Source organism: Homo sapiens, chromosome 2 (assembly GCF_000001405.40).
Source record: "Homo sapiens chromosome 2, GRCh38.p14 Primary Assembly".
NCBI lineage: Eukaryota > Metazoa > Chordata > Mammalia > Primates > Hominidae > Homo > Homo sapiens.
Window position 1 is genome coordinate 135,760,831 of NC_000002.12, and position 25,396 is coordinate 135,786,226.

At 39.5% G+C, this 25,396-nt stretch overlaps 1 protein-coding gene across 1 annotated transcript in view; it reads left to right on the forward strand.

The window, feature by feature from the left end:
* Positions 1 to 24,226, forward strand: part of UBXN4 (UBX domain protein 4) — a 43,202-nt gene extending 18,976 nt beyond the window's left edge. The window contains exons 6-13 of the mRNA NM_014607.4: positions 988 to 1,081; positions 8,939 to 8,993; positions 9,741 to 9,905; positions 11,590 to 11,717; positions 15,419 to 15,521; positions 18,118 to 18,249; positions 19,353 to 19,555; positions 21,919 to 24,226. Coding sequence (NP_055422.1) covers positions 988 to 1,081; positions 8,939 to 8,993; positions 9,741 to 9,905; positions 11,590 to 11,717; positions 15,419 to 15,521; positions 18,118 to 18,249; positions 19,353 to 19,555; positions 21,919 to 22,057 — 1,019 coding nt within the window. The 3' untranslated portion in view covers positions 22,058 to 24,226. The remainder of the gene's footprint in view (positions 1 to 987; positions 1,082 to 8,938; positions 8,994 to 9,740; positions 9,906 to 11,589; positions 11,718 to 15,418; positions 15,522 to 18,117; positions 18,250 to 19,352; positions 19,556 to 21,918) is intronic.

Here is a 25,396-nt window from a genome sequence, read left to right on the forward strand (position 1 = left end):
TGCTAATTTCCCAGGTGTAAATACTCCCACTTTGTTGATTTCAAGCTACCTAGGTTATGCCCCTGAATGGGGAGGGAGAAGAGATATGCACCATCGTCTCTACTTAGTCATACTAATTATTTTTACTACTACTGTAGTAACGAAAATGCTTACCATGTGCCAGTCTCAGTTAAGTTCTAAGCATTTTACTTGTATTAACACGTATTTCTTATAACAACCGTGTGAGGTTACTATCCCCATTTTACTGATGAGATACAGAGGTATTAAGGAACTTACTGAAATGACTGTGTGGCTCCAGAGTCCTTGTTCGCCAAAGACTGTAAAGAAGAATCAGGTTGGTGGCAAGTTGTAAGGAAGGGAATGACAGAGGTCTTGTAGAATAGGCTAGGACAAAAGTCTATCTTTCAGGAAATCCTTCAAAGAAAACTAGCATAAAGAGGCTCTCTAAGGAACCACTCTGGTCAGCAGAAGCAGATTCCTTGGACCAGTGTAAGTCCAGAGCCATACCCAGGATCAAACCTGGCCTGTATTGCTCACTGCTCAATAGCCACAGCCACATTTTAATTAAAATTAATTACAACTAAAATTTGTCCCTCACTTGGCAGTAACCTCATTTTAGATGTTCAACAGCCGCTTGTCTAGTGGCTGCTGTGTTAGACAGTATAGATATTGGAGGGCACTGCTCTAGAGTGAAGGCTACCCATAGCCAGGCATGCCTCCTGCCAGATTGTTATTCATGTTTTACATCTGACCTTTACCTTGGTGATTTTAACTCGGTAACTGCTTTATTTCTATTTGTGAACAATTTTATCCACGTCTAAACTTTAGGATTAGTAATAGCATATTTAGCTCCTTCTCCATTTTTAGGGAAAATATATAATGCTTAAGATATAAAATTATTAACAGATGCTATAATCTGAAAGATTTATTCCTTTAAAAAGTTGCATTAAATGCAGTATTCTTATTTCTTTTTATTTAATAATTAAGGAGGAGAAAGTGCAGGCCATGCCACTTCCTCTCAGGAGCCTAGTGGATGCTCAGATCAGAGACCTGCAGAGGACCTCAACATCCGAGTGGAAAGGTTTGCTCTTCTTTTTGCAAATAGCATTTTGTTTAAAAAGACAGTGGTTTTCAGTTATTTCATTAATTTGAATTAAAGCTAAAGTTATACAAATGAAGTTTTAGAATTCTGAGTTGAAATTTTTGATCACCTAACTAATTTGTATCCATAAACATTACACTCTAAGTGTAAAGTTTTCATGTATGTCTGAAGTCACCAGTCAGCTTTTGGTCTGATCATTCTAAGAATCCCCTTTTTAATGGTATTTTGGTACATGGGTGTTTCCATCTGTCACTTCTGCTTTTATCTCTATGCCATAAGGATAATAAGCTCCAGATGGGCAAGAACTTCAGCTTATTTCATGACTATGTACTGAGCTTAAGTTCTGCATAAGTGGGTGTCTACTAAGTGGCATTTTTCATTAGTTGGTCTAATAATCAGATACAAATTTCTGGCTCTTTGTAGTTTCTAGTATTTTTAATGATACAGTAATTGTCAAATCATAGTCTTTTATGCTGTGATTCCTACATGAGTTAATAATTAGTGGTTAAGCGGGAATATTTTAAACCCTGATTTAAACCCCTTTAGCGTTAGTTATATGGAAGTTTAAAAAAATTCCTTAGCATTTAAAAATTTTTTTAAAAAAACCTTCCTTAGAGAGACTTGATATTTTCTTGTTCACATAGATGCTTCGGGGAAACAGGGTTCAAAGTGATTGCTGATATTGTCTTTGAGTTTGCTTGTGACTCAGTAAAGATCAGCTTCTTTTCAGCAAAACCTAGATTCTGATTGTTCTTTGTAGGGGAAGGGGCAGTGCCCAGACCTTGAGGTGAAAAGCAGGCTGGACCTCACAGTGGTGAGGAAAGTGGTATAAGCCTAGAAGAATAGCAGCAGGAAACTTAAGTTCCCAAGGGTTCATCCTGTTTTGCTTCTTTCTGATTTGCTAACACCAGGCCCACTACTCTGTACCTTTATTTGCACCACTCTGGGCTGAAGTGAAAATAAAAAATCTGGAAAAGGGTTTGGAGACTTGGGGCAAAAACCTGAATTACATCAGGTAGCCCTTTATTTTGAGGTGGGGTCAGGCGCTATTTAGTTATACTGGAAAAAGTTTTTAATAGCCTCCATTCTTATGTAGGGGAATGTCAGCTAGTGTCTGCCTGTGTCATAGTACTAATTAATTCACAAGCTGAGATCCTGCATTTTATTCATCTGCGTTCATGCCAAATTAGGAATCTTGTTCCTTTTGTGGAATCTGATTCATTGACAATGACAATAACTAATAACACCAGCGTATGTAATATTCCCATTCCAAATGTCCACTTAGCTCATTATTTATACCCTAAGAGTTGCCATCGTTCTCACCATCCCCTGCCATAGACTGTGAAGCTCTTGTGCCCTCAACTAACTCATCCCCTGCCATCTTTTGCAGGGTATTGAACTGTGAAACTACTAGTTTCCCTGTCTCTCTGAACTGAAGTGCTTTTTCTCAGCCTGGTTAAGTTGGACCCATCAGTCCCTGTTGTGTAATCTGATATTTTAGAATTATATGAAGTTCTATAAAGCAAAATTCATGCATTTTTCTCTGACCTTGATGGTATTTTAAAATCTATTTCATACAAATTAAAAATTCAGAGTTAAAATTTGGCAGGGGCTGTGAGTGGTGGCTCACGCCTGTAATCCCAGCACTTTGGGAGGCTGAGACAGGTGGTTTGCTTGAGCCCAGAAAATAGAGACCAGCCTGGGCAACATGGCAAAACCCCATCTCTACAAAAAAATACAAAAATTAATTGGGTGAGGTGGTGCACACCTGTAGTCCCAGCTACTCAGGAGGCTGAGGTGGGAGGATCACCTGAGCCCAGGAGGTCAAGGCTGCAGTGAGCCATGATCACACCACTGTACTCCAGCCTGAGTGACAGAGCAAGACTCTGTCTCAAAAAGTAAATAAATAAGACCAGGCATGGTGGATCACGCCTGTAGTCCCAGCACTTTGAGAGGCTGAGATGGGTGGATCATTTGAGGCCGGGAGTTCAAGACCAGCCTGGCCAACGTGGCGAAACCCTGTCTCTACTAGAAAAATACAAAAATTAGCTGGGCATGGCACGCATCTGTAGTCCCAGCTACTCAGGAGGTTGAGGCAGGAAAATTGCTTGAACCCGGGATGCAGAGGTTGCAGTGAGCCAAGGTCATGCCACTACACTCCAGCCTGGGTGACAGAGTGCTACTCCGTCTCAAAATAAATAAAATAAAATAAAATAAAAAATAAAGCAGGATGGATTAGCAAATGTAAGATTCTTACTTTCCTCTCAGGCTACAGTTGAAACTGAGATCTATTTCCAAAGACCATGTTTTTGGAAAACTAATTACTGTAGTTGACTTTAAGTCTTAGGCTTTTTTCTCATCTAGCTTCAAAGAAAACTAATTTTGTTAAGGGAAAGGGTGACTAAATCAAATTGACATTAGTGAGAAATTCATCCTATCTTGTACATAAGAACATAGTCCTTCAATCTTGAGCTGCATTTTGTCAAGTAAACATAATTAAAAAAAAACGGATTGGTGATTTGAAATTGTGAGATCTAAGTTTTTATTTTTAATATTAATGGATATACAATGGTTATTTATTTATTTATGAGGCAGAGTCTTGCCCTGTTGCCCAGGCTGGAGTGCAGTGGCATGATCTTGGCTCACTGTAGCCTCTGACTCCCGGGTTCCAGCGATTCTCCTGCCTCAGCCTCCCAAGTAGCTGGGATTACAGGCATGCACCACCACACCCGGCTAATTTTTAAAATATTTTTAGTAGCAACAGGGTTTCGCCATGTTGGCTGGGCTGGTCTTGAACTTCTGACTTCAGGTCATCTGCTCACCTTGGCCTCCCAAAGTGCTGGGATTACAGGTGTGAGCCACAGCACCTCGCCTGTGATGGTTTTTTGTTTGTTTGTTTTTGAGATGAAGTCTGGCTCTGTTGCCAGGCTGGAGTGCAGTGACATGATCTCGGCTCACTGCAACCTCCTCCACCCAGTTCAAGTGGTCCTCGTACCTCAGCTTCCTGAGTATCTGGGATTACAGGTATGCGCCACCATGACTGGCTAATTTTTGTATTTTTAGTAGAGACAGGGGTTTGCCATGTTGGCCAGGCTGGTCTCGAACTCCTGGCCTCAAATAATCCACCCGCCTTGGCTTCTTCAAGTGCTGAGATTACAGGCTTGAGCCACCACGTCTGGCCAGGATATACAATGTTTCACTAAAGTAACAGATGTGAAATAGGAATCTTTTAGCGAATCTTTAGTTAAAATGCATTATTTTGTTTATTTCATTATGTTTTTTTTTTTTTTCCCTGAGATGGAGTTTTGCTCTTGTCGCCCAAGCTGGGGTGCAATGGCACAATCTCGGCTCACTGCAACCTCCACCTCCCAGATTCAAGCGATTCTCCTGCCTCAGCCTCCCGAGTAGCTGGGATTACAGGTGCCCACCACCACACCCGGCTAATTTTTATATTTTTAGTAGAGGCAGGGGTTTCACCATGTTGGTCAAGCTGGTCTCGAACTCCTGACCTCAGGTGATCTGCCCGCCTCGGCCTCCCAAAGTGCTGGAATTACGGGCATGAGCCACCACACCCAGCCATGTCATTATGTTTAAAATGGGCAGAATTATCTGGCAAAGATAATATATACTACCATGAATTCTAGTCTTTTTATTTGAATAAGTTTCAAACCTCAACGTTGAAAAAATAGTGTAATGGCCATCTTTTAATTTTTTTCTTTTTTTTTTTCTTCTGATTCATTTGAAAGTTGCAGACATAATTTCACTTCATGCCTAGATACCTCAGCATGCAGCTCCTAGGAAGACATTGGCTGAGGGTCTGTGGGCTTTGAGCAGGGACTCCATCCTAGGCCAGGATCTGGGGATCTGTGCTCACAGACCCATGTCCTGCCCCCTTCTGGCACCCAAGCAGGCATAGTGACCATTAAGAAGTAGATGCCAGCCCGGCACAGTGGCTCATGCCTGTAATCCCAGCACTTTGGGAGGCCGAGGTAGGTGGATCAACTGAGGTCAGGAGTTCGAGACCAGCCTGAGCAACATGGTGAAACCCTGTCTCTACTAAAAATACAAAAATTACCCGGACGTAGTGGTGGGTACCTGTAATCTCAGCTATTTGGGAGGCTGAGGCAGGAAAATTGCTTGAACCCAGGACGTAGAGATTGCAGTGAGCTGAGATTATGCCATTGCACTCCAGCGTGGGCAATAAGAGAGAAAAGCCATCTCAAAAAAAAAAAAAAGTCGAAGCCCAAATGTAGAAGTTATGGAACAGTCAATTTGTTATTAAATTAGATGCAGTGTAGCTTTTCACCCAAATTAAAACAAACTTGCGTTTGTATTTCTCAGAAGAAAATTCTACAGATGGTCTATAAATACGTTTATACACCATTTTCAGATGGTGTATATTTTCAGATACAAGCACGATACCATTATCATACTCAAGAAATTCTCAATTGATACAGTAAGATTATCTAATTTGTCCGTATTCAGATTTCCCAGTTGCTCCAATAATGGCCCTTTTAACTTTTCTTCCCTTGATTCAAGATCCAGTCAAGGATTGTTCATTGCATTTAGTTTAGGCTCTGAATCCAAGACACTTCTTGTTTGCATTTTTCATGATTTAGACATTTTGAAGAGTCTAGGTTAGTTGTTTCTACAATGTCCTTTGATCTGCTCCCTGTTCTATCATTAGATTCAGGTTAAACTCTGATAAGAACATTACCAAGATAATGTTTTGTCCTTTCCATTACTCATATCAGGAGACAAGTAATATGAGATGTATGCATTATTGGAGCTGTAAAGTTTAATTATTTGGTTAGGATGTTGTCTGTTGGGTACCCTTTTCATTTTCTAATATATAAGTTGTCTATGGGGTGATTCAAATGGTAAATATCCTACTGCTTAAAAACTTCACCCGGTGGTTTCAGCATTCATTGATTTTTGCTGTAATCACCTATTTCATTGATGTTTAAAAATTGTGGTATTTTTCTCATTCTGTTTTTTTCTACATTTATCAGCTAGCATTCTTCTGTAGAGAAATGCTTTGATCTACCCCCTCTACTTTCCATCTGCCCACCCCCGCCCCCTTTTTCCAGTAAACTACTTATTGGACACCAGCACCCAGATGAAGGAATAGAAAATTACCAGTGCTAGTCTGGCATGGTGGCTCACGCCTGTAATCCCAGCACTTTGGGAGGCCAAGGTGGGCGGGTCACCTGAGGTCAGGAGTTCAAGACCAGCCTTGCCAACACAGTGCAACCTTGTCTCTATTAAAAATACAAAAATTAGCTGGGCGTGGGGGTGTGCATCTGTAGTCCCAGCCACTGAGGAGCCTGAGGTAGAAGAATCACTTGAACCCGGGAGGCAGAGGTTGCAGTGAGCCGAGATCGTGCCACTGCACTCCAGCCTGGGCGACAAAGTGAGACCTTGTCTCGGAAAAAAAAAATGAAAGAAAGAAAATTAACAGTGCCTAATAAGCTTTCCTAATGCCCCTTCCCAATTATGGATTCCCTCCATAAGATGATCACTATCCTGAATCGAACACTGTAGGTTAGTTGTCTGTTTGTGAACTTTGTGATGGAATCATGCAACGTGTATTTTTGTGTTTGATCTCCTTTGTTCAGCTTTGTATTTTGAGGCTTATCCGTGTTGCATGTCACAGTAATTGGTGCACTCTCATTGCTTTATAGTATTCTGTTTGACTCTACCTTGATTTATTAATCCATTCTACTGTTGGTGGACATTAGGATTGTTTTCAGTTTGGGGCTATTTGAATAGAACTGCTATGAGGAATATTCTTGTATATGTCTTGGTGAACATGTGTACACATTTCTTTTGGGCATATATATGAAGAAGCGGGAATTTCTGGGTTATACATAGTGATCAAACAGCTTTCCAAAGTGGTTAGGCCAATTTACAGTTCCCCTTAGCAGTTAAGACATGTCACAGATGCTTTTTTTTCTCTCATGTGTTACTATCCATTTCTCTATTCTTTTTGGTGCACAAATTGCCCCAAATTTGACTTGTTGGAATCCCCTTCATATTGGGTCTTCTGGCTTTTTGACAGTACTCACTCCCTTGATTGCTGGCACACATTGTTCAGTTTGGTATACACCAAACACTTTTAGAGAAAATACCATTTTCATTTAAAAAAATGAAATATAATTCACTACCATGAAATTGAAAGTGTACAATTCAGTGAGTTTTAGTATATTCACAAGGTTGTGCATCCACTACCACTGTCTAATTTCAGAATCATTATTTTATTTTTTAAATTTTTTTATTTTTTTGAGATGGAGTCTCACTTTGTTTCCCAGGCTGGAGTGCAGTTTCACCATCTCGGCTCACTGCAACCTCCGCCCCCCAGGTTCAAGCGATTCTCCTGGCTCAGCCTCCTGAGTAGCTGGGATTACAGGCGCATGCCACCACACCTGGCTAATTTTTGTATTTTTAGTGGAAACAGGGTTTCACCATGTTGGTCAGGCTGGTCTCAAACTCCTGACCTCGTGATCTGCCCACCTCGGCCTCCCAAAGTGGTGGGATTACAGGCATGAGCCACCGTGCCTGGCCGATTTTATTAGTTTTTGAGATGGGGTTTCATTACGTTGCATTACACTACCATGCTCAGCTGATTTTATATTATTATTTTTTTTTCCTGAGGCGGAGTCTCACTCTCGCCCAGGCTGGAGTACGGTGACATGATCTCGGCTCACTGCAACTTCCGCCTCCCAGGTTCAAGCGATTCTCCTGTCTCAGCCTCCCGAGTAGCTGGGTTTACAGGCGCTCACCACCACGCCCAGATGTTTTTCTATTTTTAGTAGAGACAGCGTTTCGCCGTGTTGGCCAGGCTAGTCTCAAACTCCTGACCTCAATTGATCCGCCTGCCTCGGCCTCCCAAAGTGCTGGGATTGATTACAGGTTTGAGCCACCGTGCCCAGCCTGATTTTTTATTTTTTGTAAAGATGGGGTCTCAAGTTGTTACCCAGACTGGTTTCGAACTCCAGGGCTTAGGCTATCCTCCTGCCTCAGCCTCCTGCAGTGCTGAGATTACACATGTGAGCCACCACACCCAGCCTCCATTTGTTTGTTTATTTCAGACAGGGTCTCCCTTTGTCACCCAGGCTGGAATGCAGTAACGCGAACGTGACTCGCTGCAGCCTCGACCTCCCGGCTCAAGCAATTCTGTTACCTTAGCCCCTAAAGTAGCTGGAACTACAGGCACACGCCACCATGCCTGGCTAATTTTTGTGTTTTCTGTAGAGACAGAGTTTTGCCATGTTGCTCAAGCTGGTCTTTAGCTCAAGAGATCCACCAACCTCAGCCCTCCCAAAGTGCTGGGATTACAGGCATGAGCCACTGTGCCCAGCCTCCATTCATTTTTAACTGATGAACTTCTTACAGTTGAGAATCAAGTTGGTGTTAGTAATTTGGTATTAATAATTTGCTGGCCTTAAGTTTTTATTTTTACAGGTTTTTTTTTTTTTTACCATAGTGCTGTTTAGTTTTATATAAGGAGTAGAGCATTTATAAGTCACTGATTTATGTATTTGTTTGAAAATGTATTTGTAGATTTTAAAGTCAATATCAGGTAAATCAGAAAAAAAGGGAAACTAATCATAAGTGGGAAGTGAGGCATTTAGAATGAAGCTAGGCTTCTGATGGGCTCTCGTTGACTCCAGGATTTCTGTAGGGGCCTGAAGCCAGGCAGATAAATAGTTGCTTGCTTTTTGTTTGTTTGTTTCTTTATTTCTCCAATTGTTTTAGCTAAATCCATCTCCTAAATGTGTTTTATATTAATATGATGTGTCTCAATTAGTGGTGGTTTTTTTTTTTTTAATACAGACTAACAAAAAAACTTGAAGAAAGGAGAGAAGAGAAAAGAAAAGAGGAAGAACAGGTAAAGTTCATGCAGTTAGCATTGTTTTGTCCTCTCATTAACTGAGGTTGTGATTGATTATTCTATTCAGTGTGGCAGGCCTAGGGTGACTTCATAGTTTTAGTTCAGTGTTGCAGCACTATGAAGATAATTCCTGTTTTCTCTAGTAGAGTCATAGTATATACATTTTTTGTGTTCTTTTCGTAAATTACTATGAATAAATTAGACCATGCTTTTTCCCTCTGCAATGATTTTTTTTTACACTAAGAATAAAGGGACTTGAGCTAAAATGTTTGGCTTGAGGTTGAACAAAGTTTTAGTTCATTTTTGTGAAAAAATGTATAGACATTTTGCTGAATTTTTCCTCTCCTGTTAAGCATTCTAGCACATGGTTCATTTTTCTCACCATGTATACCTAACTGTGTAGCATGTCTTTGGAGTTCTAATATAGGAAGGTTACCATTTCATTCAAGCCAAATACGTGACTGCCATGTTGTCCCTGAAGGGTAATATATTTACCCTCATGACTAAAGACCTGTAATTATGCTTGCCTTCAAATTACACTGACTACATTATTATCTTAACAGACCATTGGCAATGATTTATAGATTGATAGACATTTGACCATTAACCATGCCATTAATAAACTCGTCTAGACTTACATTTTATGAAGTTTTATTCTTTTAACTGCAGTTTTCGTTGCATTCAAAATAATATCTGGGGCAGATTATCAAGTTTTTGGATCATAAAACTTTTTCTTTAATTCAGAGAGAAATTAAGAAGGAAATTGAGAGGAGAAAAACTGGAAAAGAAATGTTGGATTATAAAAGAAAACAAGAAGAAGAATTAACAAAAAGAATGCTGGAGGAAAGAAACAGAGAGAAAGCAGAAGATAGGGCAGCTCGAGAACGTATAAAACAGCAGATTGCATTGGTAAGTCTTAAGTTTCCAGACATTCGTGAAACTGTTTTTCTGTGCACAGTAGCTTTAGATTACTACCAGACTGTGCACACAAAAATAGATTTTAGTGACTCATAGACTACCAATCCTGAGCTTCCTTTTATTAGAAATTGTAAATGAATTAAAATAGTTAAGATTAAAATTGAGTTGATTTTTTTGAAGTGATTTTTATTCATATTTTGTTAATTTATGACTTTTATCAGCATTCAAAAAGCAGCTTTTAAAGATTCCCTAGAAAATAAGCTAAGTACTAGTACCTACTACTAGTACTAAGTACCTACTAGTAGTAACTACTAGTACTAAGTACCTAGTAGTTCTTCTGTAGTCACAGGCACACTTTTTTGCAACATTGAAAGGATTTAGGCACATCATAAAGCTTAGTTTGCAACAATTGCTTTTATAATTCATCAGCTGCAATACATATTAAAACCATCCCGCCAGGTGTGGCTCACGCCTGTAATCCCAGCACTTTGGGAGGCTAAGGAGGGCGGATCACCTCAGGTCGGGAGTTCAAGACTTGCCTGGCCGACATGGTGAAACGCCATCTCTACTAAAAATACAAAAATTAATCGGGTGTGGTGGTGGGCGCCTATAATCCTGCTACTTGGGAGGCTGAGGCAGGAGAATCACTTGAACCTAGGAGGTGGAAGTTGCAGTAGGCTGACATGGTGCCATTGCACTCCAGCCTGGGCGACAAAAAGCGAAACTCCATCTCAAAAAAAAGAAAGAAAGAAAAAAAGCCATCCCTACCTTAATATTTTTGTTCATTTGGTCAGTCAACAAGTATTTGTTGAGCATTTATTATTTATTTATTTTTGAGATGGAGTTTTAGTCTTGTTGCTCAGGCTAGAGTGCAGTGGCGCAATCTTGGCTCACTGCAACTTCCACCTCCCGAGTTCAAGCAATTCTCCTGTCCCAGGCTGCCAAGTAGCTGAGGTTACAGGTGCATGCCAACATGCCCAGCTAATTTTTGTATTTTTAGTAGAGACGGGATTTCATCACATTGGTCAGGCTGGTCTGGAACTCCTGACCTCAGGTGATCCACCCACCTCGGCCTCCCAAAGTGCTGGGACTACAGGCGTGAGCCACCACACCCAGGCTTGTTGAGCATTTATTATGTACCAGACCTTGTTCCAGGCTTTGGAGATACAGTAGTGAGCAAATTCATTTCCTTGTTTCCTTAATAATAATTCTGGTCTCCGACAGTTGATAAAACTAAAAAATAACAGTTCCAGAATGTTAAAGTTCACATATGGTGTTAGACAATTTCAGGCAGCAAAGGCACAGTGGCTCACAACTGTAATCCCAGAATTTTGGGAGGCTGAGGTGGGAGGATTGCTTGAAGCCAGGAGTATAAGATCAGCCTGGGCAACAAAGTGAGACCCCACCTCTACAAGAAAAGAAAAAAAATTAGCTGGGCATGGTGGCACACACCTGTAGTCCCAGCTACTCTGGAAGCTGAGGTGGGAGGATTGCTTGAGCCCAGGTGTTCAGAGGCTGCAGTGAGCTATGATTGTGCCACTGCACTCCAGCCTTGATGACACAGCAAGACCCTGTCTCTTAATAAAAAAAAAAAATTCCATGCATATTTGTTTGGAATTGTGTGAATTAACCATTCTGGCAGTAAAGGTAATTGGTATTTAATGATGTTTTAAAGGACCGTGCAGAGAGAGCTGCTCGTTTTGCAAAGACAAAGGAAGAAGTAGAGGCTGCCAAAGCTGCTGCCTTGCTAGCAAAACAGGCAGAAATGGAAGTCAAGAGGGAATCTTATGCAAGAGAAAGAAGGTACTATATTTCATGCTGAAACATCTCTGTGCACATAGGGGCTGAGGAGAATGATTATAAGCTGGTTTTTAACACTGATGTATACTGTGGTTATAAGCAGTCCATTCCAGAGGGACATATTAATTTGACAGCTCCCAATGGTATCTCTCATTTCGTGTGAGTGTACACTAAAAAAGTACTACATAAATAACTTTAAAAGAGGGCCCAATAGCCGGGCGCGGTGGCTCACGCCTGTAATCCCAGCACTTTGGGAGGCCGAGACGGGCGGATCACGAGGTCAGGAGATCGAGACCATCCTGGCTAACATGGTGAAACCCCGTCTCTACTAAAAATACAAAAATTAGCTGGGCATGGTGGCGGGCGCCTGTAGTCCCAGCTACGCGGGAGGCTGAGGCAGGAGAATGGCGTGAACCCGGGAGGCGGAGCTTGCAGTGAGCCGAGATTGCGCCACTGCACTCCAGCCTGGGCGACAGAGCGAGACTCCGTCCCCAAAAAAAAAAAAAAAAAAAAAGAGGGCCCAATAAATACCTGTTTTCCAAAGACAGAAATGATTTGTAACCAAATGAATATAATGTTTATCTCATACGTATTAGGATTCTTTATTTTTCAGAATCCCCTATCCGATAGGATTAAGCAAAAGAGGAAATACATTGGCTCTGCAGTTCAGAAATCCAAGGGTGAATTTGGTTAGGCATAGCTGTGTCCAGCAATCTAAAGGATACCATTACAATTTCTCTCTCTCTTTTTAATTCTTGGTTTCTTCTGTTTTAGCTTCATTCTTAGAGAAACTCTCCAAATGGTGTCAGGAGAGCCCAGCACCTCCTGGCACTTTCAGGACCTTGAATTCACGATCCCAGACAGAAGAGATTAACCTTTTCTCTCTCATGCCTGTATCAGTCACTGAGAATTCTGACTGCCCCTGTTTGGATCATGTGGCCACCTTCAGAGTAGTCAGTGTCCACATGTGTGGGCCCTCTGGTTGGAGGAGGTGACATGCCCAATCTTGTGGTGAAGGAGGTGGGGGAAATGTTATTGATAATTATACCAGAACGAATGACACATAGCAGGGTAAGAAGGCAGTTCCCAAAACAAAAATATGTTGAAAAGACAAAAAAAGTTTAGATTTCTAGTACACCTTGCTAATTGGATTATGGTTAATACTTATTGTCTTCTCTGTGCCTTTTCATATTTCCATATTGGACAGTTAACAAGTAGTATTTTGTAATCAGAAAAATTTTTAAAAATAATTTTCCAAAAATAATGAAGTAATAAATTTAACAAAAATGTAAGATTTGTGTGCTAAAAATGACAAAACATTGTTGAAAGATTTAAGACCTAAATACCTGGAAAGTATCCTATGTTCATGGATAAGAATACTTAACATTGTTAAGATGATAATCCTCCCTAAACTGATCTAACTGATCTATAGATTCAACACTCCTATCAAAATTCCAGCTGGCTTTTTTCCATAAATTATAAACCTAAAATTCATATGGAAATGCAAGAAACACAATAGTTAAAACAAACTGGAAAATGAAGATAGATGACTCATACTTCCTGATTTTCAAACTTACTGCAAAGCTATACAGTGATGTAATGGTATAAGATGAACATACAGGTCATTGTAATAGAATGGAGTCTCTAGAAATAAACCCTTACATTTATGAACTGTTTATTTTTGAAAAGGGTACCAAGACTATTCAGTGGGAAAGAAGAATCTTTTCAACAAAAGGTGCTTGGACAACTGAATATCTACATGCAAAATAATGAATTTGGACCTTTACCTCACACCATGTACAAAATTAACTTAATGGATCATCTACCAAAAAGTAAAACTATAAAATATATATTCTTAGAGGAAAAAAGAGGAATATATTTTTGTGATCTAGGAGTAGCCAATGGATTGTTAGACATGGCACTAAAAGCACAGGAACAAAATTTAAAAATAGGTAAATCGCACTTCCAAAATTTAAAACTTTCGTGCTTTGAAGGATATCATCAAGAAAGTGCAAAGAAGCTGGGCATGGTAGCTCACACCTATAATCCCAGCACTTTGGAAGACTGAGGCAGGCGGATCACTTACGGCCAGGAGTTCAAAACCAGCCTCGCCAACGTGGCAAAAAACCGTCCCTACTAAAAATACAAAAATTAACTAGGCATGGTGGTGCACACCAGTAATCCCAGCTACTCAGGAGGCTGAAGCATGAGAATCGCTTGAACCAGGGAGGCGGAGGTTGTAGTGAACCGAGATTGCGCCACTGCACTCCAGCCTGGGCGACAGAGTGGGACTCTGTCTCAAAAAAAAAAAAAAATGCAAAGAACAACCCATAGAATTGGAGAAAATATTTGCAAATCATATATTTGATGAGAGACTTGTGTCTAGAATATAAAAAGAACCTGTGACTCAATTATAAAGACACCCAGTTCAAATATGTGGAAAGGATTTGAATAGACATTTCTCCAAAGAAGATAAACAAATGGCCAGTAAGCACATGAAAAGATGTTCAACATCATTAGTCATTAGGGAAATCAAGTCAGAACCACAATGAGATACCATTTCACACCCACTAAGTATGCCTAAATGTAAAGAGAAAGTAATAAGTGTTTGTGAGGATGTGGAGAATTTGGAACCTTTCTGTGTTACTGGTGGGATTGTAAAATGATGTAGCCACCTTGGAAAACAGTTTGCCAGTAACGCAAAATGTTAAACATAGTGTTATCATAGGACCCAGGAGTTCTACAGCAGCAGTTTATACAGCAGTTTATATCCAAGAGAATTGAAAACGTCAACACAAAAACCTGTACATGAGTATAGCAGCATTAGTCAAAATAGCTAAAATGTGGTAATAACCCAAATGTCCAGCAACTGAAGAATGTGTAAACTGTATCTCATACAACAATGTTTTTCAGCAATAGGAATAAGAACTGATACCTGCAACAACATGGATGAACCTTGAAAATACAATTTCCATGAAAAAAGCAAGTTACAAAGGTCACATACTGTATGATTCTATTACACAACATGCCCAAAATAGACAAATCCGTAGAGATAGTAGATTAGTGGTTGCCAGGGTCTGGAGGAGGGAGGGATGGGGAGTGACTGCTGATGGGGTTGGAGTTCCTTTTTGGCATGATGAAAATGTTCTGGAATTAGATAATGTTGATAGTTGCACAATTCTGAATATATTTAAAAATCACTGAACTGTACACTTTAAAAGGCTTAATTTTTGTTTGTTTGAGATGGAGTCTCGCTCTATTGCCTAGGCTGGAGTGCGGTGGCATGATCTCGGCTTACTGCAACCTACACCTCCCGGGTTCAAGCCATTCTCCCTGCCTTAGCTTCCTGAGTAGCTGGGATTACAGGCATACACCACCATGCCCAGCTAATTTTTGTATTTTTTAGTAGAGACAGGGTTTCACCACGTTGGCCCGGCTGGTCTTGAACTCCTGACCTCAGGTGATCCGCCCGCCTTGGCCTCCCAAAGTGCTGGGATTACAGGCGTGAGCCACCACACCCAGCCTAAAAGAGTTAATTTTTTATATGAATCTCAGTAAAGCAGTTATTAACAAACAAAAAGATCTGATATGGTAGAAAAAACTATTGTCATTGCACATTTCCACTTCCATTTTCTCTAACTTAATGATATTGTTAGAGAATATATAGAGGTGAAGATTGTGACTTTAATTTTCTTTTTTCATAGCACTGTTGCAAGAATTCAATTCCGTCTTCCTGATGGTTCTTCCTTTACAAATCAGTTCCCTTCTGATGCTCCTCTAGAAGAGGCAAGGCAGTTTGCTGCACAGGTAAATTTATGTCTTGAGTTGTAGTAAAAATAGATGTGTAGGTTACTAAATTATAGGAAGGGAAAATTTCAAAGCAGAAGTTGAATGTGAGTGAATTGTGACCTCTCCAGGAGGGAGGCACAAGACGCCTCTGAGATATTGTGGAAATTCTGTCGGGTGTTAGTGCATATGGGAGTAACATATCTGCTTTGTGTGCAGAAGTAGGAATTTGCTGATATTGTATAATAGGTCCTGGGAACTTTTCTTTTTTAAAATTTTTTGAGACAGGATCTCACTGTGTCGCCTAGGCTGGAGTGCAGTGGTGCGATCACAGCTCCCTGCAGCCTCGACCTCCTGGGCTCAAGCGACCCTCCCACCTCAGCCTCCTAAGTAGCTGGAACTTACAGGCATGTACTGCCATGCCCGGCTAATTTTTGTACTTTTTGTAGAGACAGGGTTTCACCATGTAGCCGGGCTGGTCTTGAACTCCTGGGCTCAAGCATTCCTCCCACCTCAGCCTCGCAGTGCGTTGGGATTACAGGCGTGAGCCACCCAGCCCAGCCACTGGGAACTTTTTTCACTGATTAGTAGACTCATTGAAGGAGTGACAGGCAAGTGATTTCCCGAAGGTCTGATGTGAGGGAATTGTCCCACTCCCCTGAAATGGAAGCAGTTTTTCTCACTCCTCTCTCCATTTCCTACAGATTGCTTAGGGGCTGGTCATTTTCCTACGATTTACCTTTTGGCTAAGGAAAAAGAGGCAGTAAACTTTATTTGACAATAGTATCTTCTTCAGGAATTTACTTCCAAAAGGTGGCCTTACTCAGAATCTGAATGGAGTATATATCTTGAGATATGAGTAGTTTTCAATTTATTTTTATTCCCTGATTGATTCCTTATTCAAAACGGATTCTGAGCATCAGATGTCCTTTGGGTTCTAGGCTCATTATATGTATCAGTATTTTTTTCATATATATAATTTCAAGGTTAAAATTAGGGATTTGGGTTCAGATCTTTCCGCCAGACCTTTTCTCCACATTTGGTCGTCTTCTTGCACTCGTGAACTAGGCTGGACAATGTAAACGTTTATTTTAAAAACTGTTTCCCCCTAAGCTTTATAGTAGAAACAGTCCCAAATAGGTGCTTTCATTCTTCTTTTGTCTTGGAGCCTCCCACAATGTGTCCCCTGTCCTGAGTTTCACTGCTTTTGCCACAGGTAAATGGAGAAGGGACTACATCTTTGATTGCATGTGTCCTATTAAAACTCCACCTCAGGCCAGGCATGGTGGCTCACGCCTGTAATCCCAGCATTTTGGGAGGCCGAGGTGGGTGGATCACAAGGTCAGGAGTTTGAGACCAGGCTGACCAACATGGTGACCCCATCTATTCTAAAAATACAAAAATTAGCCGGGCGTGGTGGTGGGCGCCTGTAATCCCAGCTTCTCGGGAGGCTGAGGCAGGAGAATCGCTTGAACCCAGGAGGCAGAGGTTGCAGTGAGCTGAGATTGCGCCACTGTACTCCAGTCTGTGCAACAGAGCAAGACTCCATCTCAAAAAAAACAACAGGCTGGGCGCAGTGGCTCACGCCTGTAATCCCAGCACTTTGGGAGGCTGAGGTGGGTGGATCACGAGGTCAGGAGATTGAGACCATCCTGGCTAACACGGTGAAACCCCGTCTCTACTAAAAATACAAAAAATTAGCCAGGCGTGGTGGCGGGCGTCTGTAGTCCCAGCTACTCGAGAGGCTGAGGCAGGAGAATGGTGTGAACCCGGGAGGTGGAGCTTGCAGTGAGCCAAGATCGCGCCACTGCACTCCAGCCTGGGCGACAGAGCAAGACTGTCTCAAAAAAAAAAAAAACAAAAAAAAACCCAAAAAACAAAAATTCCACCTCAGTACAGTTATCAAGTTTTGTATTTTGTGTATCTTTAGAACAGTGAGGGGTATGTGTGATCTACAGTAAAAAAAAAAAAATACGAAAAACAAGTTAGTCTCCTTCTTTGGAATCTTCTAGGGAAAGATACACAGATGTCTAAGATTTTACAAGTGATTTTTGTATATAGAGGACTTAAAATTGTGAGGGTGACTTACAGTGCTGTCCATTGTACGTTCCTGGATCTGGTATTGTGTGTATCATGTAGGTTGATTATGGACCATTTATGCCTTGAGACAAGGAGGAGGCTACACTTCCTGAAGGTATATATGAGGGAAATACTGGTCTAGTCCAAATTCTTAATAGGGATTACCTGTAATCCAAATGTGTGTTCATGAGACATTAAGTTTGCCAAAGGATAGTGAAAACCTAATGATGAACTGCAACAGTACTTAAAGGAGATACACAATTGTCCATTTTTACTCAATTTATTTGTGTGTTTTTAGGAACTATATTTTGCTATTTTGTGGTCATCTTTGAGTTACAGAAGCTTTTAAAAACTATTTGGATTTGATAGCTTTTCAGCTGCTTAGGGGCTGGAAGCACAATTTTATACCTTTTTTTGAGTTTACATGTAATGAACTTTTAAAATTAAGGCAATGTTAATTAAAGCATCATTTTGGATTCATCTGAGTAATATCTTACTTTTAAAGGCACTCTTTAAGTTTTTAAAACTTATTTTACAGACTGTTGGCAACACTTACGGTAATTTTTCGTTAGCAACCATGTTTCCCAGGAGGGAATTTACCAAAGAAGATTATAAAAAGAAGTTACTGGATTTGGAACTTGCCCCAAGCGCTTCGGTGGTACTGTTGCCAGTATGTATATACAGATGCATTTTTTTCTCTTCTTATTGTTTTCTGTTTATCATACTCTTCATTTCTTATAATTAGGGGAAAGGAAGTGCACAGATATACTGAAGGTAATTAAAATTCAAGTGATCCAATAATTAGATGAATTTATAATTCCATTATCCTGTGCTTTATTTGTATTGCTGATATTACTTGTGAGACATGAAACAGTTTAATTTTTAACTTTTTTCTTCACATATTTTTGTGTACAAAAAAAATGACCAATAGGAGAAGACAGTAAGAAATGCAGATTATCTGTCTAATCCACACACTTAGTGTCTTTTATTTATATATGCTCTACTGTTTGCCAAAAATAACATGAATATTCAAACAGATTATCCCATTTGATCTGCACAACAATATTTTAATCTCTGGTGAAGAAAAGAAGCTCAGACAGCTTAAATGACTGCTGCCGTAACTGGGATGAGAGCCTGGGTCTTCTGTGTCCTGGTTAACATAGTTTTCCTTGCTCTATACTAGACGTGCCCTCCACCCCAAAACAGTTAGCTCTCCAGTAATCAGGATTTCATTGTTTGAACCTTTTTTTTTAAATCAGCAAGAAAGACTCTTCTTATAAAAGTTTAATATTCTTAAAAAATAGTTGGCTCATTTCACTGAGAACTACTTTCTAGTTTGTATATTACAATTTCTCTTAAACACAGCTCCAAATATTATAACATAAAATTACAATTGTATATATAATATACAATATTATACAATTATATACAATTATTATATAAAATAATTATATAAAATAATTTTATAATTATAATATATTATATAAAATATAATATATATAATATATAAAATAATTGTATACTATACAATTATACAGTTATTATACAATTATATACAATTGTATAATATTGTATATTTATCTTTAAAAACTTCTGGGAGTCTTCAGAAGTTTATATATACGTGAAAAACAGCAAAAGATATCATTTTACCCTCTTGAAGTAAACTAAAATTGGTAGGACCTCCTTTTCCAGATAAAAGTTTCATCTGGAACCTTGGGCGTGATGTGATTGTGCTAACGTAGTCTTTATCTAGGTTTGTTTATTAATTTCTAGGCAGGAAGACCAACTGCATCCATTGTACACTCTTCCAGCGGAGACATTTGGACCTTGTTGGGAACAGTGCTTTATCCATTCCTTGCCATCTGGAGATTAATTAGCAATTTCTTGTTTAGTAATCCGCCTCCCACACAGACTTCAGTGAGAGTAACATCGTCAGAACCCCCAAACCCTGCATCATCTAGCAAATCAGAAAAAAGGTATCTGTGTGTGTTTTCCCCATTTATAAAATATGTAAGTCATGCCCAGTATCTTTTTTAAGTAAAAAGTTGAGTACTTTGCCTTTCTGTATATGTCCTCTCCAGTTCCCACGGTGGAGGAGAAAAACTCCGATGCTCTGAAACTTTATTACATCATCTCTACTGCAGAGCTCACTACCTGCGTTTTCTCAGCCAGCTTTATAAAACCAATTTTTTGGAAAGCAGCTTCACCTCTACTGGTTTATTGTTTCATTCATTGAAGTTTCTTTACCCCATAACTATCAAGGCAGATTTTTTTTTCTAGTAACCTCTTTCTTGCTAACCATGTTTGCTTGACAAGATAGTTCATTGCATTAATCGTTCAGGGTCATCTTGCATAATTACTGTAGGTGAACTACTCTGTTTTGATCATTTTAACCCTGTTGGTTCTTTTATCTACCGGCTGACAGCCTTGTCTGGATCATTCAGAGAAGGACCAAATTGTGGAAACAGGTTATTGCTTTGAAAATTCTCTCTCAGAGAATTATTTTGGACTAATCCCTTAACCAAGAGACCAGGGCCTGATGCAGTGGCTCACGCCTGTAATCCCAGCACTTTGGGAGGCTGAGGCGAGAGAATTACTTGAGCTTATGCATTCAAGACTAGCCTGGGCAATATAGTGAGACCTTGTCTGTACAAAAACAATTTAAAAATTTGCCAGGCACATGTCTGTGGTCCCAGCTACTTGGGAGGCTGAGATGGGAAGATCACTTGAGCCCGGGAGATTGAGGCTGCAGTGAGCCAAGATTGTGCCATTGCACTCCAGCCTGGGTGACAGAGTAAGAGTGAGATCCTGTCTCAAAACAAAAACAAAACAACTTTTATAGCAGATAGCATGCAATGGTTAGCATAGTAATACAACACTGACAATTTTAACTCCTATCTTTGTTAAGATTTTATATACTTGAAACAGGTTAATGGGAAGTATTTTCCTAGAAAGTAAGTTTATGCCCCTTTCTAATAATTACATAATAATGTAACTTACTGAAATGGACACCGCTGTTAAGCACTCTATGAGGCCTTTTATAGGCATTATAACAAATCTTCATGCCAGTCCTATGTGATAAGTAATAGAAATTCTTTTTTCTCTGCCCTCAGTATGGAGAAGCCCTAGTCATGTGTTTATGGATTCCATAGGTAATGACATATAAGTATTGTGATTGGGCTGCTTTGTCCTTTATCTTATTTCATAACTGTTAGGCAGGAAGACCAGTTACCTACTAAGTACGTTACTGTAGTGAGGACAGAGGGAAGCTCAAACAAGGCTGAATCTTAAAACTCTTACTGAGCAATGGGTGGGAGCATTTAATACTGAATTACTGTAATATAGGAGAGCTCGTTGTATGGATTTTTAAAACTTTTTTCAGGCTGGGTGTGGTACCTCATACTTGTAATCCCAGCTCTTTGGGAAGCTGAGGTGCAAGGATCACTTGAGGCCAGAAGTTTGAGACCAGCCTGGGCAACATAGTGAGGCTCCATCTCTACAAAAAAAACTTTTAGTGAGCTGTGTGTGATAGCGTGTGCCTATAGTTTCAGCTGCCTGGGAAGCTGGGGCAGGAGGATTGTGTGAGCTCCAGAGTTTTGAGGCTGTAGTGAACCGTGATCGTGCCACTGCACTCTAGCCTGGGCAACAGAGGGGACACCCTGTCTCAAAAAAGAACAAAAAACAACACTTTTTTCAAATAAGAGAAAGGTCTTAGATTAGAGCAAAGGATGGAATAAAAGGTGTGTCAAAGAGAGGGTGAAGCTTTGTGTTCCACCATTATTTTTCCTTTTTTCTCTCCCCTCTAGAGTTATAAAAGTCTGTTGGCTTAAATTTTATCCTTATACCTTTGTATTTTCAGAATAGGAAGTCCTCTTCATTCTTAATTGTTTATAAATAAGTCATTCTTGAAGATTTTGCGAAGGATTTAAAATTGACCCTTTCTGTCAAGCTGACTGGAGCTTTGGATAGTCTCTAGGGTGCTAAGTTACAAATGTTTTAGTAGATAATGTCGGCTTGCATAAATAACAAAGGAAAGATTAGTTGGCAAATGGTCACACTCCTCTAATGCTTATTAAGTCACTAAGAAACACAATGGAAATGGAATATATGATTTGGCTGGCTGGCTTGACTTAGAGATCAGATGAAGCTAAACTACCAAAGACTGCTAAAGTCTAGTACTGTGTTAGTAGATATAATGGTCTCCCATGGACTTTCCTTACTTTAGATGGCATTAAAAGTAAAACTTAGTTGCCTGTACTGATGGAAGTTGGAAACAGCTTGTATTACTATTGTTTTTATTTTATGACATCTTCCCCTTGCTCCCTCTTTTTCGTATCAGGGAACCAGTGAGAAAAAGAGTGCTGGAAAAACGTGGAGACGACTTTAAAAAGGAGGGGAAAATTTATAGATTAAGGACTCAAGATGATGGTGAAGATGAAAACAACACTTGGAATGGAAATTCCACTCAACAGATGTAGTGTGACAAGTATAATATGTGCAATAATCATTGTTTCTCTTATGATTTAATTCAACTAAAATTCTACTGGAGAAGTGGGACTGCTTTATATTTTCCAACTGGTCTATAAAATGTCTCTTTATTCCTGCTTAGTGGGTGTGGGTTGAAGGTGTTTAACTCAGAAAAGTAAAGACAGGAAATAACTCTCTGCTAGGTCCTTGCTTATATGGCAACCACTGCTAGAACCCTAAAAGAACCAAAAATCTGCCACAGCCTGCCTCCATCAGCTTCTTATTTAGTATTTCATATGCCCATTAGCCCTATGCTTCAGATGACACGTTTTGTTTAGAGCTACTTTGCTCCAAGACTCTTAAGCCCAAAGTAACTGGTATGTCACTGAGTAACTTGACTCGGTGTCAGAGCATTTTAACTAGCCACTCAGATGAGAATTTATGTTTAACTTCTCTTTTTACTCATCAGCTGCAAGCAAAATCTTGTAGTTTTTAATCTTAAACACTGAATAAAAAAACTTTCCCCTAAATTGGAATGATCTTAGTTTTGCTTTGAGTTTTGTTATCTAGCATCTTTTTGTTGCACAGGGCTCTATTGAGGTCCTATGTCTCTGATTTTTTTTTTTCCCCAGTATTGCCCTGGAGCTGTCTCTGGAAAGTAGCTGGCGAGGTTACCTTAACTATCACTGAAGAAAGAAATTTTCTGACACACTGATGGCATGTGACTTGTCTCCTAAGTCAGTGAGGCATCACTTTGTTTGCATAAAGTATACGGTTTGTTAAGGCCTTTGTTCTTGTGAGATGCAAAACAGCTGCTAGTCTGCAACCTAGTTTTCCCTCTCACCTTTAACTGACGTTTTGTCCTCAATAATTACACAAGGACCTAGAGTACCTATAGGACAAAAAGTATAGAATAAAAATATGCCTTTAGTCATTTGGTTTTTCTTAAAAAGTTGAGATTCTTAATCTGACTTACATGTTACTTTATCCGTATGTCTTTGTTAGTGGAGACCGCTAAACTAATGATGTTTGAAAACAGTTCCTCTGTTTTAGATTGGAAGATAGCACTCTAGAGTGGACATACGGAAAGACTGTGACTTTATTTTGTAATGGGAGGAAGAAATTTTCTCAGAGCAAACTTTCTATTTTTTACCTGTGAAATAACAGTGACTTTTTAAAATGGTGACAGTGTTGGCAAGGAAACAGCAACACAGGCTGCGCTGTTGGTAGGAGTGAAAACCAGTATAATTCTTCTGAAAAACATTTATCAGAAACTTAAAATATTTCATACCGTTTGATCCAGTAGCTTCTTCTAAATCATAAATGCAGACAATGTTTAGGTAAAGACATACTCATTAAGTGTTATTTATTTTACTCAAGAACTGGAAACCAACTAAATGCCTTCTATAGAAGTAATTTTTGATGAGGAGAAATGGTACAATACTAATTAACAACTTGGTTTAACATGTTTACTGAGCATCTGTTAAGTGTTGGGGGAAAAAGCAGCAGGATCCAGAGCTATAGGTACAGTGTGATCTCAGCTTTGCAAACACATTTTCTACATAGATAGTACTAGGTATTAATAGATATGTAAAGAAAGAAATCACACCATTAATAATGGTAAGATTGGTTTATGTGATTTTAGTGGTATTTTTGGCACCCTTATATATGTTTTCCAAACTTTCAGCAGTGATATTATTTCCATAACTTAAAAAGTGAGTTTGAAAAAGAAAATCTCCAGCAAGCATCTCATTTAAATAAAGGTTTGTCATCTTTAAAAATACAGCAATATGTGACTTTTTAAAAAAGCTGTCAAATAGGTGTGACCCTACTAATAATTATTAGAAATACATTTAAAAACATCGAGTACCTCAAGTCAGTTTGCCTTGAAAAATATCAAATATAACTCTTAGAGAAATGTACATAAAAGAATGCTTCGTAATTTTGGAGTAGGAGGTTCCCTCCTCAATTTTGTATTTTTAAAAGTACATGGTAAAAAAAAAAATTCACAACAGTATATAAGGCTGTAAAATGAGAATTCTGCCCCCTCACCTCTTACCCCAGTACTATTCTCCAGAGGTAATCTATTAACAATTTCTTATGTAATTTTCAGAAAATTTGTATGCGTATATAAGCAAATATGTAATCTTTATTTTTTAAATAAATGGGATCATATTATATATTCTACCTTGCATCTTGCTTTTTTGCTTACATAGTCTTGAGATCTTTTCCTGTCGACACTGAGCTACCTCATTTTTAATGGTTGCATAGCATTCTGCTTGATGAATGTACTGCATTCAGCTTACTGTCCATGCTCTGGTGGCAGTCAGTGGTTATTACACAATTTTGTTTTTCTATTACAAACATTGCCATCGTAAGCAACCTTCAGTGGGAGGTATAGTCTTACTGTGAAAATATACCTGTAGAATATGTTTGTATAACTTGCTAAGTGAAAGAAGAGTGTTTGCAGTTTGGATTGTGAAAGATGCTGTTGCATTGCCTCCTCTACAAGCTGTGTGAATTTGAACCCCTACCAACAGTCATGAGAATGTCCATTTTCCCACACCCTTGCCAACACTGTATTATCATACTTTCTTAGCTTTGTCAAAATGATGGATGAAAAATGATACAATCTCGTATGCATTGTATTTATCATGAATGAAGTGAGCATCTTGATGTTATTGATCAGTTTGGCTTATCGTGAGAGCTCCGTGTATTCCTTGCCAATTTTTGTTTTCATATTTTTCTTACTGATTTATAAGACTACTGTGTACATTACAGCCATTTGCTAGCATATGCAGTGAATATTTTCTCTTTTTTTTTTTTTTTTTTTTTTTTTTTTTTTTGAGACGGAGTCTCCCGCTTGCCCAGGCTGGAGTGCAGTGGTGCAATCTCGGCTCACTACAAGCTCTGCCTCCTGGGTTCACACCATTCTCCTGCCTCAGCCTCCCGAGTAGCTGGGACTACAGGTGCCCACCACCACAGCTGGCTAATTTTTGTATTTTGTTTAGCAGAGACAGGGTTTCACCGTGTTAGCCAGGATGGTCTTGATCTCCTGACCTCGTGATCCGCCTGCCTCGGCCTCCCAAAGTGTTGGGATTACAGGCGTGAGCCACCGCGCCTGGCTTCTCCCTCCCTTTTGTTGAGTATATTTGGTAATTTTTTCCACAGTATTATCTGTGTTTTCCTTTATGACCTCCAGGTCTTGAGTCTTGCTTATAAATACCTTTCCCACTTCAAAAATTAATTTTTTTATATCCTAGGATTCTTATGGTTTCCTTTTTGTATGTTTAAATCTGGTATCCAAGGAAAGGACCTGGCTCCTTCCCATGCCCGTGGCTAACATCCCC